At 44.2% G+C, this 18,977-nt stretch overlaps 1 protein-coding gene across 21 annotated transcripts in view, besides 1 other annotated feature; it reads right to left on the bottom strand.

Moving 5' to 3' along the window:
- The window catches only part of TPO (thyroid peroxidase), a 169,627-nt gene that overhangs the window by 77,210 nt on the left and 73,440 nt on the right, over positions 1-18,977 (bottom strand). For all 21 annotated transcript variants that reach the window (XM_047445652.1, XM_047445655.1, XM_047445654.1 and 18 more), the window contains 2 exons: positions 12,641-12,770; positions 10,182-10,388 (listed from right to left, as the gene is read on the bottom strand). In XM_047445652.1, the coding sequence (XP_047301608.1) occupies positions 10,182-10,388; positions 12,641-12,770 (337 nt within the window). The remainder of the gene's footprint in view (positions 1-10,181; positions 10,389-12,640; positions 12,771-18,977) is intronic.
- Positions 18,113-18,723: an enhancer, noted in NCBI's record as "H3K4me1 hESC enhancer chr2:1451513-1452123 (GRCh37/hg19 assembly coordinates)". NCBI's record gives its function as "activates a minimal SCP1, AML or CMV promoter by ChIP-STARR-seq in primed H9 embryonic stem cells {active_cell/tissue: H9 hESC(primed)}" and the evidence as "EXISTENCE:reporter gene assay evidence [ECO:0000049][PMID:30033119]".

Below are 18,977 nucleotides of genomic sequence, written 5' to 3'. Positions count from 1 at the left end.
AATCCTATTGACACTACTCCACAAGATAGAGAAACAGGCAACCCTTCCTAAATCATTCTGTAAGGCCAGTATCACCCTAATAGTAAAACCAGAAGAGGACATAACCAAAAAAGAAAACTACGGACCAATAACCCTGATGAACATAGATGCTAAAATCCTTAACAAAATACTAGCTAACCAAATCCAATGCATATCAAAAAGATAATCCACCATGATCAGGTGGGTTTCATACCAGGGATGCAGGGATGGCTTAACATACACAAGTCAATAAATGTGATACACCATGTAAGCAGAATCAAAAGCAGAAATCACATGATCGTCTCGATAGATGCATAAAAAGCATTCAAAAAGATCCAGCATCCTTTTATGATCAAAACTCAGCAAAATTGGCATACAAGGGAAATAGCTCAATGTATTAAAAGCCATCTATGACAAACCCACAGCCAACATAATTCTGAATGGGGAAAAGTTGAAAGCATTCCCTCTGAGAATGGGAACAAGACAAGGATGCCTACTCTCACCACTCCTCTTCAACATAGTACTCGAAATCCTAGCCAGAGGAATCAGACAAAAGAAATAAAGGGCATCCAAATCGGCGAAGAGGAAGTCAAACTGTTGCTGTTTGCTAATGATATGATTGTTTACCTAGAAAACCCTAAAGACTCCTCCAGAAAGCTCCTAGAACTGATCAAATAATTCAGAAAAATTTCTGGATACAAAATTAATGTACAGAAATCAGTAGCTCTTCTATACGCCAACAGCAACCAAGCTGAGAATCAAATCAAGAACTCAACCCCTTCTACAATAGCTGAAAAAAATAAAATACTTAGAAATATACCTAACCAAGGAGATGAAAGACCTCTACAAGGAAAACTACAAAACACTGCTGAAAAAAACCACAGACAACACAAACAAATGGGACACAACCCATGCACATGGATGGGTAGAGTCAATATTGTGAAAACAACCATACTGCTGAAAGCAATCTACAAATTCAACACAATTCCCATCAAAATACCACCATCATTCTTCATCAAATTAGAAAACAAAATCCTAAAATTCGTATGGAACCAAAAAAGAGCCTGCATAGCCAAAGCAAGACTAAGCAGAAAGAACAAATCTGGAGGCATCACATTACCTGATTTCAAACTATACTATAAGGCCATAGTCACCAAAACAGCATAGTACTGGTACAAAAATAAGCACATAGACCAATGGAATAGAATAGAGAACCCAGAAATAAACCCAAATACTTACAGCCAATTGATCTTCGACAATGCAAACAAAAACATAAAGTGGGCAAAGGACACCCTATTCAACAAATGATGCTGCGATAATTGGCAAGCCATGTGTAGGAGAATGAAACTAGATCCTCATCTCTCACCTTATACAAAAACAACTCAAGATGGATCAAGGACTTAAGTCTAAGACCTGAAACCATAAAAACTCTAGAAGATAACATTGGAAAAATTCTTCTTGCTATTGGCTCAGGCAAGGATTTAATGACCAAGAACACAAAAGCAAATTCAATAAAAAGAAAGATAAATAGTTGGGACTTAATTAAACTAAAGAGCTTTTGCACAGCAAAAGGAACAGTCAGTAGAGTAAACAGACAACTCACAGAGTGGGAGAAAATCTTCACAATCCACACATCTGACAAAGGATTAATATCCAGAATCTACAACAAACTCAAACAAATCAGTAAGAAAAACCAAACAATCCCATCAAAAAGTGGGCTAAGGACATGAATAGAGAATTCTCAAAAGAAGATACACACATGGCCAACAAACATATGAAAAAATGCTCATCACTAATGATCAGGGAAATGCAAATCAAAACACAACACATTAGCACCTTACTCTGGCAAGAATGGCCATAATAAAAAAAATCAACGAATAATAGATGTTGGTGTGGATATGGTGAAAAGGGAACAACACTTCTACCCTGCTGGTAGGAATGTAAATTAGTACAACCACTGTGGAAAAACACCGTGGAGATTCCTTAAAGAACTAAAAGTAGAACTACTATTTGATCCAGCGATCCCATTCCTGGGTATCTACCCAGAGGAAAAGAAGTCATTATACGAAAAATGCATTGGCACATCCGTGTTTATAGCCGCACAATTCACAATTGCCAAACTGTGGAAGCAACCCAAATGCCCATCAATCAATGAGTGGATAAAGAAACTGTGATTTTTTATATACGATGGAATACTACTCAGCCATAAAAAGGAGTGAATTAATGGCATTTGCAGAGACCTGGTTGAGATTGGAGACTATTATTCTAAGTGAAGTAACTCAAGAATTGAAAACCAAACATTTTATGTTCTCACTCATAAGTGACACCTCAGCTATGGGGATGTAAAGGCGTAAGAATGACACAGTGGACTTTGGGGACTCAGGGGGAAAGGGTGGGAAGGGAGTGAGAGATAAAAAGCTACAAATTGTGTTCAGTGTATACTGCTTGGGTGATGGGTGCACCGAAATCTCACAAATCACCACTAAAGAACTTACTCATGTAACCAAACACCACCTGTTCTCAATAACTTATGGAAATAAAAAATTCCAACATGAACATAATTCATAACCCACTAACTCCACTTTGTAATATGTACCTAGAGATACACATTGGTGTGCATGAGGAGGCTTGCATAGCTTTGAGGTTGTCGATACATTCATAGCTACATATTTTCTGCAGTGGATGGGGGGTTTGCAGCACCCAGTGGAACATCATCGGGCTGCCTGCACCCCCACTTAGCCGAGACCAGAAGGAGCAAGGTCATGAAGAAAAGCCCAGTCCTAAAATAGAGGATGCTGCAAAGCTCTCACAGCTCCCTGGGCTGAGTGATCAGTAGTCAGAGACTCAAAACACTTTAATTTATAGTCTCGTGTAGTTGCTGGAAACATGTTTCTCTTAGGAAAACTGAATAAACATAGATATGATAAATTGTGTGGATCATTTTCTGTTTTGCTTTGGGATTCAAAAGTCCCAACTTGCTCCAAGCTCACTAAGAACTTCCACCCTCTCACTCCACCGTAAATACTCAGAGACCAAACTGGATGCTTTGAGTGTAAAGGACATCAAACATTTAAAAGCACTGATTTATGATGTGTCATCTATTGGGTTTATGGAGCTACTCCTAGAGTATACGGTATATTTTTCATCTCACTGGAGTGACTGTTAGCTCAATCACTCAACTACTGAAGGCTGCCCTGGGGATGGACAGGATCTGAATAATTGATGGACACTCTTAACTGCAAGCCAGGAGGTTCATGCCTGACACCAAGAGCCCTGGAAAGTGCCCTGGAGACCCACCCTGGGGCCTCTCCCACGTTCTCACCCACGGGCACGCAGGTGTCCTCCCTGCCAGATGTGGTCTTGCCTTTTATTTTTAAAATTGTTTACAAATAATTTTATTGTTATTTTTCTCTAAGTACAAAGATAATATATGCTCAATAATGAACATTTTGAAATAAGAAAAGTGACAAGTACAATATCATCTAAAATTTTACTAAGCTGGGCAACATTTTACCATTTCCATAATATCACTGTATAACATGATTGTCTAAAGTTGCTTGTGTTTCTCATGCTCATAGCCTGTGATCAACGTTTAAAGTTTTTCAGTATTTTGGTGATATAAACAATCGTGACAAACTAATATATTCACCCACTTTTAAGGGCAGTTTGGACATTGTCCCTAGGGAAGATTCTTGTGGTGCTGTGAATGGGCCTGATTTCATTTCATACCTTATGTCACATCGTGTCCCGAATGTATTCACCAGTTTACTTTTGCACAGCAATGCATGGATGCAAATGATTTCTCAATACCCTCAACAACACTAAATTAAAATTTCATAATTTCTTTCCAGTCTGTATGTTTAAAAACAGCATCTTGCTGTTCATTTATCTTTCATTGATATCTGTGTGTGTGTGTGTGTGTGTGTGTTTACCTACACACACGTATTTGGGTTTTCTTGTAATTTTCTTGTTCACATCGGGTGTTTATTCCATTGGGTGTTTATTTTTTTCTCATTGCTTTATAAGAGCTCTTTATAGAATGAAGATAACAATTCCTTGTGATTCCATATTTTCAAGTCGTCCCCTGAGGGTTTGCCTCTTGTCTGTGCCCTGAGTTTGTGTCCAGGGACCTTAGCGCAGAGCCCTGAGGTCTGGAGTCAGCTCCTCAGCTCCTGGGAACAAGCCCTGCAGGCTCCCCGCCTGAGATGGTCCAGCCCCTCCCCGCCTGCTGCCCGCAGCACCTGCCCCAGCCTCTCTGCCTTCAGGGTCCCACAAGCATGTGCTCCGTGTGGAAGGGAAGTGCTGTCAACCCCAGTCCTGCCCCACGAAAGACAGGCTGGCCCAGAAGAGCCAGAAGAGAAAGTTGAAATAGGGCAGAGAGACGGTACCTGGGGTGACCGGGCTCACTCTAACTGAGCCCTAAAAAGAAAGGAGGACACTGGAGAGTGACATGGCTGATGAGAGCACCCGCCTTTCCCTTGAGATCCAGTAGGGAGCCCCGAAGGAGCCAGTGCCCGGACCCCCCGGAACCTCTGCGGGGGTCTCCACGGGCATCACAGTATCCTGCTCCTCGCCACGGCCCCCCCTGCCCTCGTCCAATACACTCCTGAGTTACACAGGGTCCGCATGTCAGCAGAAGGATCCTGGAGCAGCTGTGTGCATGTGAGGTGTGTGCAGGTGTGTGTGTGGGTCTGTGTGTCATGAGCATGTATAGGTGCGTGTGCCTGTGTGCACGTGTGTGTATGGGTGTGGGTGGGTGTGCGTGTGTGTGCACAAGGGCGTGCACACAGGTGTACGGGCGGTCACGGTCACCTGTGCCTGTGAGTGTGTGCATGCCTGTGGGTATATTTATGCCCGGTGGGGCAGGGGGCCCTGGGGCCCAACTCACTTTTGCTTTTCACTCCCACTCGGGTTCTTCTGAGGAGACTTTTCTTAGGACGAAAGGCCAATTCCTCCCCTGAGGCAGGTGGAAGTCCAGTTTCCCCAGGGCCAGCCTACCCAGGCGGCACCATAGCCACAGTGCCTAGGGCCACAGGAGCAAGTGTGGTCACAAAATCTTTAACTTGCTTTAAAATCAGAAGAAAATAATAAACATTTAGGCCAAAGAACGTTTGAACCCACATTAATATATTTATCTTTATACGAACGCAGCCATCCACATAACTGAGTATTGTGGGTGGAGGAAGGAGCCTCTGGGGGCGGGTGTGTGGGGCTCACCACAACCATCACGTGACCCTGGATACCAGCAGAACGTGCCCAGGATGATGCCCTGGCCAGAGGCCCCCCAACCTCCCCCACGGTGTGTGTGGCCCTGAAGGGCTGGGCTTTTCCTGGGGTCCTTGTCTGGCCTCAGGGCTACCCGTGTCCTTCCCACCCAGATGGTGGCCCCCAACTGTCCCACCTGTCTGGACAAACATAAATTACCCCAATAGCAGCCGCAGACTTGCAAGAACAATCCCTCCTTCTTCCAAGGCTGCTTTTCACCAGCTCTTGCCCAAACCAGCGAAACTCCAGGAGATCCCCAAAGGTGGAGCCCCCACGCACAGTGATTCTCTCAGTGCAGCTCCAGGGGAGCCCAAAGGTGGAGCCCCCACCCCACTACACAGTGGTTCTCTCAGTGCAGCTCCAGGGGAGCCCAACCTCCACACAGAGTAGTTCTCTCAGTGCAGCTCCCTACCCAACGTGCTCCCTCCCTGCTGAGCTTCCCTAATCACCCCACATCCCTCTCAGAGGTCTACGCTTCCAGCAACACAGCAATAACAATACACGTTCATTGAATTCCTTCTCTGAGCCTGGTTTTGCAAATTCGATCTCATTTCATTCTAATTGCTACATTATTAGGTGGGAAATATACTCTTTTTATGGACAACAAACCTATATACATGCAGCTAATAAGTTACAAGGCCAGCCTGGGAAATATACTCTTTTTATGGACAACAAACCTATATACACGCAGATAATAAGTTACAAGGCAAGCCTGGAACCCAAGACCTGATAGATAATAGGTGCCCATCTCCACTGCTTCTCCAGGCTGCATAACTCAGTCATTTTTTTGCACAGATTCTGCTGGGGAGCCACTTAGCTGGGAACGAGGGCCTCTGCTTGGCAGACTGTTCATTGCTGAAGATACAGGTACTTCTGCAAGATCTAACAGCTCTAATGTTAACAGATGAGAACTTTGGGGTCCTGAGTGGTGAAGAATAACACTAGGGCCAGGCACAGTGGCTCATACCTGTAATCCCAGCACTTTGGGATGCCAAGGTGGGCAGATCACTTGAGTTCAGGAGTTTGAGACCAGCCTGGCCAACACGATGAAACCCCATCTCTATTAAAAATAGAAAAATTAGCCAGGCATGGTGGCGCATGCCTGTAGTCCCAGCTACTCAGGATGCTGAGGCAGGAGAATCGCTTATATCCGGGAGGCGGAGGTTGCAGTGAGCTGAGATTGCGCCACTACACTCCAGCCTGGGCAAGACTCCAGCTCAAAAAAAAAAAAAAAGAAAGAAAGAATCCCAGGTTAGAGGTACATGCAGCAGGGAACACATGCAGGGGGCCGCCCTGGTGAGGGGGCTCTGCAGAGAAGAGCAAGGGGCCCCCTGTCTCCCAGGGTCTGAGCCCCAGCGTGTGAGAGAGAGAGACCTCCTCCCAGGGACAGAGGCTGGACCTGGCTGAAATTCAGTTTCTATGATTGACACAGTCTTTATGGTGCTCCTTTTCCACCTTTCCCCCAATATTATTCCTTTTGGGATATTTTGTTTAGATGTCTTGATTTTGCCCACTGGGACCTCCTCTGCAGATGCCCAGAATTTTGTAACTGCTGGTTTATGTAACTGTCCTGCCCACCTTCCAGGGACCAGCCTGTCTTCCTTTTCAGCCTGCCTAGCACACAGCACAGCATGGCACAGAATAACTGCCAGTGAAGTTTTATTGAATGAATGTTAGAGAGGACATGAGATCGAAACCATCTGTGCTCTTAAGTAGAAAATGTCCCTTGTTGGCTGAGCACGGTGGCTCACACCTGTAATCCCAGCACTTTGAGAGGCCAAGGCAGGCGGATCCCAAGGTCAGGAGTTCGAGACCAGCCTGGCCAACATGGTGACACCCCGTCTCTACTAAAAATACAAAAATTAGCCGGGTGTGGTGGCACCTGCCTGTAGTCCCAGCTACTAGGGAGGCTGAGGCAGAAGTATTGCTTGAACCCGGGAGGCGGAGGTTGCAGTGAGCCGAGATTGCACCACTGCACTCCAGCCTGGGCGACTGGGTGAGACCCTGTCTTAAAAAAAAAAAAAGAAAATGTCCCTTGTTAACTTCAAGGCTGGTTTCCAGAGAGAAATAAAATTAAAAATCTACCTATATTGTCTCTTTCTTTTCTGGTAAGAGTGAACATTTGTGCAATATTAATGGAGAGTAATTCTGCAATATTTATCAAAATTCCACAGGCACCTCCACCGTGACTTAGCAATCTTACCCCTGGATCTATCAGGTGTGCACATGGGCACAAAGATTGAGGGCCAAGTGTGCTCTTTGCTTCATTATTTGTGACAGCATAAAAACAGCAATGAAGCAGAAGGCAACTCATGCTCATTAATAGGGAAAGTGGTTAGATAGATTATAATGCACACACAAATGGAATACTAAGTTGTAAACAATTACATTTCTGTTCACTTAATGTTAAGCAGACATGTATAAGAACTATTGCTAAGTGGTCCTTACCAGGCACTGAGCATGCACATGATGTGACACAGAGGATGAGAAAAAGTGCAGGTACACATGGGATAATAGGCTCTATTTACACACGTGCCCACAAACTAATATGCTATAAACACACGTGCCCACACAGTATCTTATATGCCATATACACACATGTCCACACACTATCTTATATGCCATATACACACATGTCCACAAACTGTCTTATATGCCATATACACATGTGCCCACAAACTGTCTTATATGCTATAAACACATGTGCCCACACAGCATGTTATATGCCATATACACACATGTCCACACACTATCTTATATGCCATATACACACATGTCCACAAACTGTCTTATATGCCATATACACATGTGCCCACAAACTGTCTTATATACTATATACACACATGTCCGCATATTATCTTATATACTATATACACATGTGTCCACACACTGTCTTATATGCTATATACACACGTGCCCACACACTATCTTATATCCTATATACACATGTGCCCACACAGTATCTTATATGCCATATACATATGTGCCCACACACTATATTATATCCTATATACACACGTGTCCACACGCTATCTTATATACCATATACACACGTGCCTGCACACTATCTTATGTGCCATAAACGCACGTGCCCACAATCTCATATGCCATATAAACACGTTCCCACACACTGTCTTATATGCCATATACACACGTGCCCACACACTATCTTATATGCCATATACACACGTGCCCACACACTATCTTATATGCCATATACACACGTGCCCACACACTATCTTATGTGCCATATACACACGTGCCCACACACTATCTTATATGCCATATACACACGTGCCCACCCGAGATCATATATGCTAATACACATGCCCACACATAATCCTATATGCTATATACACGACCACACAATATCATACATGCTATATACACACGAGCCCACCTGTGATGTGCCAATACATGTGCCCACACATAATCCTATATGCTATATACTTGTGACCACACAGTATCATACATGCTATGTACACATCTGCCCACACACTATCATATATGCTATATATGCATGTGCCCACAGTATCATACATGCTATGTACACATCTGCCCACACACTATCATACATGCTACATATATGTGTACCCACAGTATCATACATGCTATGTACACATCTGCCCACACACGATCATACATGCTATATATGTGTACCCACAGTATCATACATGCTATGTACACATCTGCCCACACACGATCATACATGCTATATATGTGTACCCACAGTATCATACATGCTATGTACACATCTGCCCACACGCGATCATACATGCTATATATATGTGTACCCACAGTATCATACATGCTATGTACACATCTGCCCACACACTATCATGCATGCTATATATATGTGTACCCACAGTATCATACATGCTATGTACACATCTGCCCACACTATCATACATGCTATATATGTGTACCCACAGTATCATACATGCTATGTACACATCTGCCCACACACTATCATACATGCTACATATATGTGTACCCACAGTATCATACATGCTATGTACACATCTGCCCACACACTATCATACATGCTATATATATGTGTACCCACAGTATCATACATGCTATGTACACATCTGCCCACACTATCATACATGCTATATATGTGTACCCACAGTATCATACATGCTATGTACACATCTGCCCACACACTATCATACATGCTACATATATGTGTACCCACAGTATCATACATGCTGTGTACACATCTGCCCACACACTATCATGCATGCTACATATATGTGTACCCACAGTATCATACATGCTATGTACACATCTGCCCACACACTATCATACATGCTACATATATGTGTACCCACAGTATCATACATGCTATGTACACATGTGCCCACACACTATCATACATGCTATATATATATGTGTACCCACAGTATCATACATGCTATGTACACATCTGCCCACACACTATCATACATGCTACATATATGTGTACCCAGAGTATCATACATGCTATGTACACATCTGCCCACACACTATCATACATGCTATATATATGTGTACCCACAGTATCATACATGCTATGTACACATCTGCCCACACACTATCATGCATGCTATATATATATGTACCCACAGTATCATACATGCTATGTACACATCTGCCCACACACTATCATACATGCTATATATATGTGTACCCACAGTATCATACATGCTATATATATGTGTACCCACACTATCATACATGCTATATATACGTGTACCCAGGGAATTTCCAGTGAGATGCACCAGATATTCACAACTGCTACCCCTGGGAATAGGACAAAGAAACAGACTTTCACATTTTGTTTTATACCATTCTGTTTGACGTTTTAAATAGCACTTAGTTTCATAACAAACATAGAAACGTTTTCTAAAACTTACTTGTATGGGAAAACATGGGTTTTGGTTCTCACAAGTCATCTGGCAGTCAGCCCCTCCCCCGAAGGCAGCTTTGCTGGTGCTCTGTGGTGTGAACGCGATGTCGTGGTCGATGTATTGTCCCCATGCCATCAGGAGGTCAGAATAGCGGTCATCATCTGTGACAACCTCATTTGAAACTTGAATGACATGTCTTGTCACCTCCCGGACCTGGGTAGGAAGAGACCATTGGTCAGGACATAGGAGGACCCTGTGGTAGCAGAAAGATGACCCTTTGGGATCATGCACTTCCTGGTGTGGTTCTTGTTCACAGAGCTCCAGGTGCCCCTAGGAGATCTGTGCCCTGGAGTTAGGGCAGGAGGAGCATAAGCTTTGAAGACAGATGCCCCTGGACTTGAATCCCTGCCTTGATTTGTGGTGGCTGGAGGGCCTGGCATTAACTTCCCTCAGCCCTCACTTCCTCATCTGTAAGTTAATATGGAAAGGTTGAGCTTTCAGTGTTGTTGTGGGGATTAAGTGAAGAGTCATTGACAAAACAGCCAGGCTTTAGGACAGTTGAGTTCATGACTCAGAGGGCAGAGCCTCCAGCCACAAGCGAGTACTCCTTGGCCTTGAAGCCTAAGGGAGTTGCTTGGCTGGATTTCAACGTGGGTTGGGAGGAGTGACTCCCCTTCCTTTCCATTCTCCACGCAGACATCTGTTGCTGTTATGTTTAACACCGTTCCGCCAGGGCATCTGGAGAGCAGACGACAAGCTTCCCTGTCTCACAGGCTAGGTCCAGATGGAGAGGAATTTTGTCCTGGATGGATCTTACCCTGAGCCTGCCCTACCTGATGTGGATGATTTATGTGGTGAGATTTGGATTGGATTTTGGGCCTAGAGTTGGTGCCGTCATGGGATGGGGTTTGGGGGAACCTTGGAATGGGGTGAGCATGTTAGGCATGTGGACTGGATATGAATCTTTGAGGGTCAGTGGGTCATCTGTGGAGGCAGAAAAATGCCTCTCGCACAACATCCATTCGCTAATCCTTGGAGCCTGCTGATGCGATTACATTAAGGGCCTTGAGATGGGAAGGTTGTCCTGGGTCTCCACGAGTGTCCAATCCAGTCACATGGGTCCTTAAAGTTGGAGGCCCTCTCCTGACGGGAGGTGGAGATGTGACTCCAAACAAAGGCACAGAGACAGACAACATTGCCGGCTTGGAAGGAGGTGCCATGAGCCAGGGGATGCAGGCACCTCCAGAAGCTGGAATTGCCAGGAAAGGGATCTCCCCTGGAGCTTCCAGAAAGAACCAGCTCTGCAACACCTTGATTTCAGCCAAGTGAGACATCAGACACTGATTGTGAAATTGGAAGATCACATTTATGTTGTTTTCAGCCACTAAATTTGGAGCAATTTGTCACAGCTGGGTAGAAAACCAACACAATTTCATTTAAAGACACTTGAACTCTGATTTTTCTCAATAGTGAAATAATTCTGAGCAAATATGGGTTTACAGAATCACAATCTCATAATACTGAGAGTTTAAAAAGCCTCGGGGGTTGAACTGGTCCACTGTTGAGCATAAGGTGGGTAAGACAGTCTTATCCCATTTTAGGGATTGTCCAACTGAGGCCAAGAAGGAAAGCGACTTGCAGGAAGCCAGTGGGAGCAGAGCGTGAGCCCAATTGCCTTGTCCCTGCTGCTGGGAGCACCGAGCCGTCTTCAGTGACACAGCCTCCAGCTCTACCCAGGGCTTCTCACGGCTTCTGGGAATACCAGGTCCTCTTACTAAAAGCCCGCCTAGGAAAATTGCCTAGGTAAAGTTGTTGGCTTTTGTAGGGGAACTCTGTGCTGGTGTATCTGTCCACAGCTGGTCTGAGTCAGACCTGAGTCCCACCACCTGCGCTCTTTGGGCTAAACAGAACATCCACTGATGTATTTCTAGATAATTTCATCACTGAACATGGCACAAGAGCAAACAGGCTGGCTTATTCATTGAAATGAGTAGTTAAATTACAGGCAAAATGACCCATTTTTTGACCAAATAGACCAGTAGATTCTACTAGGCTATGAGTGTCCAGCAAATAAATTCACCTCTGGGAGTAAAGCAGTCATCTTTACATCAACAAGTGGATTGCTGAACTCATAATCATCTTGGGATGTACCTAGCCCACATGATGGATAAAGGAATTTATCTGAAAACACTGAAGTGATTTTCAGGAACAGAAACGTTAGGGTTGAGAAAACTTAATTTAAATCTGCAGGGTTCCACTCACTAAGAGATTTCAATCTCCCTGAGCCTTGGCTCCTAAGCCATAGGGCAGAAACAGTGATTGCTACATCAAAGGGAGGCTGGGAGGATCTGAAGGGATTGCACGCAGCACCCAGCACGAGCAAGAACCCAGTAAAAGGCTATTTCCCTCCCTCAGCATCACAGGACCCAATCTTAGTCCAGGATAGTAGCGTTCTGAGTACCCACCGGGGGCAGTGGGAACCCGTTGTACAAGAAGCCGGGGTTCCAGCCTCGGGGCTGACTGAAGCCGTCCTCATAGACTGGAGGGAGCCATCGTGCCAGGGCCGTGTTGGAGGCGCCCCATCTGGGGTGGTCTCTGTGGAGACAAATGCAAGGATGTGTTTGAGATGGGGGAGAAGAACACAGAAGCAGTGAGTTCCAGATATAAGACACCATTCTCAGGGAGAATAAGTGGGGTCTCTCCGGAGGCCCAAGGGGCACAGCTCCCCAGAAGACCCGAAAGGCCTCCTGGAGGCCCAGGTCATGACTGGCTTCAAGGGAGCTCATTCCAGAGGCTTGGTTCCCACAGGCACCCTCTCCCGAGCTCAGCACATGCTGTCTGGAGGTGGCTGCCTGCAGGGTTCCTTCCCACTCCCCTGTTTTCCGAAGGAGGGTCTCCCACCCTTCTAGAATGTACCAGGGGCAGTTCTCTGGAGGACAGAAACTTCTGGTACTCCAAACAAAGAGATCATTTGAAATCCTGTGGCATAAAACATCCTTTAATCAAAGCACCATGAAGCCACCAGGGTGTCGCGCCTGTTCCTGCCCGTGTGATTGTCCAGGCGAACTTGTGGGAACTGAGGAAGTTGCTGGTTTTCTGATTTCAGAAGTGAGCGGGTTGTCAAAGGAACCATTAATAAATGAATTTGAATTAAAATAAAGTAAGTTAAAAATAAAGTTAAGTCTCTCCTGAGAGAGAGAGAGAGTCAGTTGTATTTGGCTGTTTGATTTGGCGATGACAATGGCTTCAGCCAATAGGCTAGATGGTGAAGTTTCCCATAAGTAGGCTGGTCTGCAGTTTTGTTCTATTGGTCAAAATATATTCTGACAAAAATGTATTTGAAGTGCATGATAAGGTAAAGGTGTGTTGAATATTTTGATTTCACACTTAGTTCCGAGTGTACTGTGTTAAGCAAGGTGCCCCTAAGTTGAAGGGGTGTAGGCACAATTAACAGTCACTTGATATGTCTCAGAGCATCTTCTAGAAACTGAGGAAATAAAAGACTAAAGATTGGTAACTAATCCTTTGTGCAAATGAGGTATTTTCCAATATTTTGTTTAGAAATTTGGAGGACAATGTTATTGAATTGATTGCTGATACATGAATAAAAATCATTTTAATGATAGCTCATTACATGTTCATTTTCTTCTATATCTCAGAAGGAGTTTTGAGGGCCAGATGGCATTCCTATGGCAAAACTGTTCCCAGCGACATAGTCACAGGAGCAGGTTTCTAGGCACCTTCCATCTGCAAAGGTAAAAATAATCACAGGGTTGCTGCTGAACTGTCTCATCTATAGTATGTAGGGCAACCGTATAATTCCTAACCAAAGTGGAATACTTTTGAGGAGACAGGAGCACTATTAGTTATTAATAATTTCCTGGGACAGAAGGCATAAATAGGAAGGATCTCGGGTAACCAGGGTGCATGGCCCCTTGGCCCACAGGTGATGTTCAGCCAACTGATGAAGGAACTAACTGGAACTCCACCCATCTCATCAATAAACTAATTCCAATAAATATTTATCTCTATGCATAATAATTACCAACATCTGTCATAGATCCGTGCTTATTAAATCAATTGTGTTCTAATAATGTGTAAAAAATAACTAAATCTTGAAGAAAACAATGAACACTGAGGCCCTTGTGCTCACTGAACATTTTCTAAATATGAAATTTAAATTTATAAAATACATAAAAAGTAACATGCAAAATAAAATACATATTCAAATATATAAATGCATGGTAAGACTATATGAATGTGAAGAATATATAAATGAATGTATCAAATATATAACATGAGCATACATATCTGTAGAGGATAGGTAAAGAAATATGTAAAACTTATTAAAAATAAAGGATTTCTCAAGTATAAAATATTCTACATTTGGAAGAAAATGGCTCAATTTATAAGGCATAAATTATTCTGCATTTGGAAGGAAATATGAGAGAATTAGAATATAAAAGTCAATTCAAAGAGAAAAAAATAGAAATTTTTTGTGGAAAAAAGTAGGTTCCTTTTGTTAAAAATAAATACAGATTGTTTTGGGTCTAACATTGTCATGATATCCGGGTTCCATTGGTATCTGTCAGTCACGCCCGTGTGGGAACAACCAGCACTGAGGTTCTGTGTGTGGCAGCTGCAGAGTCATGCAACACAACCAGGGCTGAGTCTGCAGAGTCTGAAGCTGCATCATGGACAACTGGTATTGGGAGGCTTTGCAAGGCACATGACAAAAGAGTCAGGCGTGACTAGGATGCAGGCTTTGAAAATCCTCCCATGTATCTGATATGTACACACTTAAAAAATACAAGGAGTGAAGTCTACAAGAATCGTGACAAGATAAATAACTTTTTAAAACATTTGGAGTGTTTGGGAATATAAATATTTAAAAATTAGTGGTTTTGTCATAAATTACCATCGCCTTTATGGTTATAACATACATTAGTCATTCGTATTAAATGTGACCGATTTAGATGTTCTGCACAGGAATGAAAGGACTAAGGTTCTACTAAGAACTGTTTGTAACCTGGGCAACATTTGTGAAGGAAAGATCCGTTTTGTCCTTGAGGTAGACTGAAGAGCTGAGACTCTTCCAGTTTAAAAGTCTCTAAGGCCACCACGCAGCTCCGTACATTAGAGGAGAGGAGCTTTTATTCTTACTGTTGTGCACCAGCTGCTACCTCATCCAGGACACATTGGATGATGAGTGGTCAGCAGCGGCAGGAGGCTTGGGGACATGGTTACTTCTCTATGTCTGCAGGGACCATAAGGGGAGAATAATTCTGTTATTAATACTTCATTAATCTCCAGCACACCAAAGTGGCTCAATTTGCAAAAATGTATGGGAGAGTAATGCATATAATCAGCTGCAATACGTCAGCAACTGAAGATTGGAAAGATTGCTTTAATAAAGTGTTCAGATTCGTTATGGTTGGTTTGTCTTTATTGAAATTCCATAAAGTATGGCTCATAGGGAGGTGTTAGATTACTCAATTAAAAATAATGTTAATTTAACTGCTTAAGCAGTGATTTTTTTTGCTGATTGACTTTTATATGTCAGCAGTTCACTAGGACATTACAATGGCTCAAGGGCACTCACAGACATTTGTTGTGGACCCTCCGCAAATGTGTCACCTGACCTTCACGGTCAGCAGGTCAGCAGGACTGAGAAGGGTCCCTCTGAGACTTTGATCAGCTCCTGTTGGAAAGATCCTTTCCCAGTGGAAATCTATTGTACCACACTGTTCCTTTCTTAGATCTGAATTAATGGCAGCATTGGAAAAAGGCTCATAAAGCTGACAAAATGAACAAAGAGAAACATTTCTGGAGGAGAGTTTTATGAGGGAGACTGAGGTCTGTGCTCCTGCTGAGGCTCCGAGTCACTCTGATTTCCCTGGGACCCTAGTTCCCCTCTCCCAGGCACCTGGCACTGGAGACTTTGTGATTTCTGAATTCCAAAAAGAAGAAATTCTAAACTTCCATCTTGAAGAGCGCTTGAGCATAAAGCTGTGGACTGAGGCCGCAAGACACAGGTCAATATGTTTGCCAGGTATGGCCATCCAGTAACAGCACATGGACACGCTGAGTGCCAGAGATGTGTGCCGCCCATGAAAAGAAGCAAACAGCAATGCAGTGTGAAATGCTGGGAGAGAAACTGTGGACGAAGTCAGCTTTCCACTCCTGTAACGGCACCTCTTTCTCAGCGGGGCAGCAGCGGGACACGGGATGCCCTCATCCTGCTGGGCCAGGTGTGCGAGGATTCATTTTGTCCCCAAAAACGCCTGACACCCTGTCAGGTGGCCAGAAGTATGAGGAAACTCAGCGGTGATTTTTCCCGTCTCCTGCTGGAGCTACTTGATTGAAGGCAATTAAGACCAGTCAGTTTGTGAGCTGGGATTATCACCAGCATGATCCCTGAGGGACATTTGAACCCTCAGAGGAAAACCCTTCAAAAGATGCAAATGCTTTCTATAATCGGCATGAGCTCAGCTTTTTCCAAAAACTTTGAAAATCTTGTTTATTCTGGCATTGTTTATACCCATCATATGTTCTGCGATTTCATAAGACACCAAGGTCAATTCCACCTCTTTTTTTCTTAAAGACTAATACATTTATTTGACGTCAAAGGTATTTTCTGTTTTTTTATCACTTCAAGTGTCAATATTGCTAAATGATATCTTAGTGCCATTGGTGGATTTACAAGTGCAACTTAAACTCTTAATAGACACACATTTGTTCTTTAGCAAACTGTTTTGAGCAATTGAACTTTCAATCTACAGGCACTTCTAAAAAGGAGACGATTGTGTCAAGGAGCTTCATTCCAGCAAAACTCCATCAGGTCTCTCCCTGCTGGATAATTTCATGAATTAGGTCAAAATGCAAATGAAAAACAAAGTGAGAGGGAAAAAAGGTGACTACGAATGTGAATTCAAGGCAAATACATAGAAAAAAAGAAAATAGCTGTCAGACATCAGATATGAGGTGTTTTTAACACAAAATATCTGGATGGGAGATGCAACATTGAATTTATACTTTTGATGATTTTTAGGCAAATGACTATAGAGAATGATATACCAAGTTACATATAGCAAATTCTATGTTAAACCCAGGTAGATCTTAAGGGTTCTTCCAATAACTTAAATACCCATATGGAATTTTCCTTTCAGACCTGATCGTCTCCCCCAGAATTGTTCATGGGCTTTAAGGCTGTATTGGACAGAACGTGAACTCCACGAAAGAGGCTTAGTGCAGAATGGCCGCTGGAGGAAGTTGGCTTTTTGATCCCTGGTGGGATCGCTTCCTGCAGCTCACAATGTCCATGCCACGTTCGTTCTCTGTGCATCCGGGAGGGAAGCACATTTGGGAAGCCGGGCGTCAGGGGAACCCAGTCCCGGCTTGAGTCTGTCCCGCCTGGATGGAAATTTCACCTGTGGCCTGGCTCCATTCATCATCGAGGGTGTGAGCTACCTCGAGGGCCAGGTCCTTTAGAGCTCACCACTCACTTGATGTTATTCCTGCACCGTGAACAAATGTGCTCTGATTCTGTGATGCCGTGATATTCCCACGTCAATCAATCTCCAGCCATTTACCTGCAGGAGCCTCCGACCACTGCTCTCGTGGAAAAACACACTGGGCTGTTTATGACATTCTGTGGTCAATGCCATGGCCAGGAGCCAAGAGGTCCGATGCCGAGGAGTGGCTGAGAGGTGACAGTCGCCGTAACTCTTACGATGGCCGGCTGTGGACAGCGTGCAAGGAGCCTGACAAGTGCTGCCTTTCAACCAGAAACAACCCTGCGAGGTGGGTGTTCTTCCCACATTACAGATGAGGAAGGGGATGGCTCTGAGGATGAAGAGAGTCACGGAAGTGACTCAGGCGGGGAAGGGAGCAGCCGACCCTCGGGTCGGGAGGGCTCGGCAGAGGCTCAGGGAAGAGGAAAGGAGGCGGACCTGACATCTGCGAGCCCAGCCGATGCGTGCAGGAGCTGCATGCAGGAGCTGCGTGGAGCACAGCGAGATGCAGACCACAGGCTCGGCTCCCACGCGAGGCCGGAGGAAGTCTATGAGTGTCCTTGTCTGGGAGTGGGTACTACACAAATGTGTGGATGCCGGCAGGGCACAACATGCAGTCTCCTGGAAACCTCTGGAGGCAGGAGCAGCCCCTGCCTCCAATCCCGGCTCCTCCCAGGCCAGGCAAGACCCCTGTGCTGTCAGGCAGGAGGGGCTGAAGCCGGCCTCTCTTCCTGCTGTACAGAATCCCGTGAGGCTTCTGCCACCTGCGCCCCAGTGCGAGCTGCCCCAACAAGGTGTTCTGATGTCTGCTGGGTCCCTGTGTCTTTTTCTCAGTAGGCTTAAAGAGAAATGTGGCTAATTGTTTAACTCAGGTTCTCTCCCTCTCTCTCATAATTGTATACATAATGGTAAGAGTCTAGCAGTCCTCGCCCACACACATGTGGCTACTCGATTCATGATATAGGCATGGGTGCAGTTCACTGGGTAAAGGATGGTTCTGAATAAATATCATATACACATGCTTTCACACACACATATCTATACATACATACACACACACCCCTCTATATAGACCTGTGTTTATTATAGATATATACACACACACATACAAATCTACCTATATATACATGCCTCTATATATACACAAACACTTATAGATATTGTCAGTGAAGAGTCAAGCTCTGTAAAATAGTTGAAGAGATTTATTCTGAGCCAGATATGAGTGACCAATGGCCAATGATTCAGCCCTCAGGAGATCCTGAGAACTTGTGTCCAAGGTGGTTGAGGC

This window comes from Homo sapiens, chromosome 2 (assembly GCF_000001405.40).
Source record: "Homo sapiens chromosome 2, GRCh38.p14 Primary Assembly".
Taxonomy (NCBI): domain Eukaryota; kingdom Metazoa; phylum Chordata; class Mammalia; order Primates; family Hominidae; genus Homo; species Homo sapiens.
The sequence above is the reverse complement of the archived record's forward strand: the minus strand, read 5'-3'. Positions and strand labels throughout refer to the sequence as shown.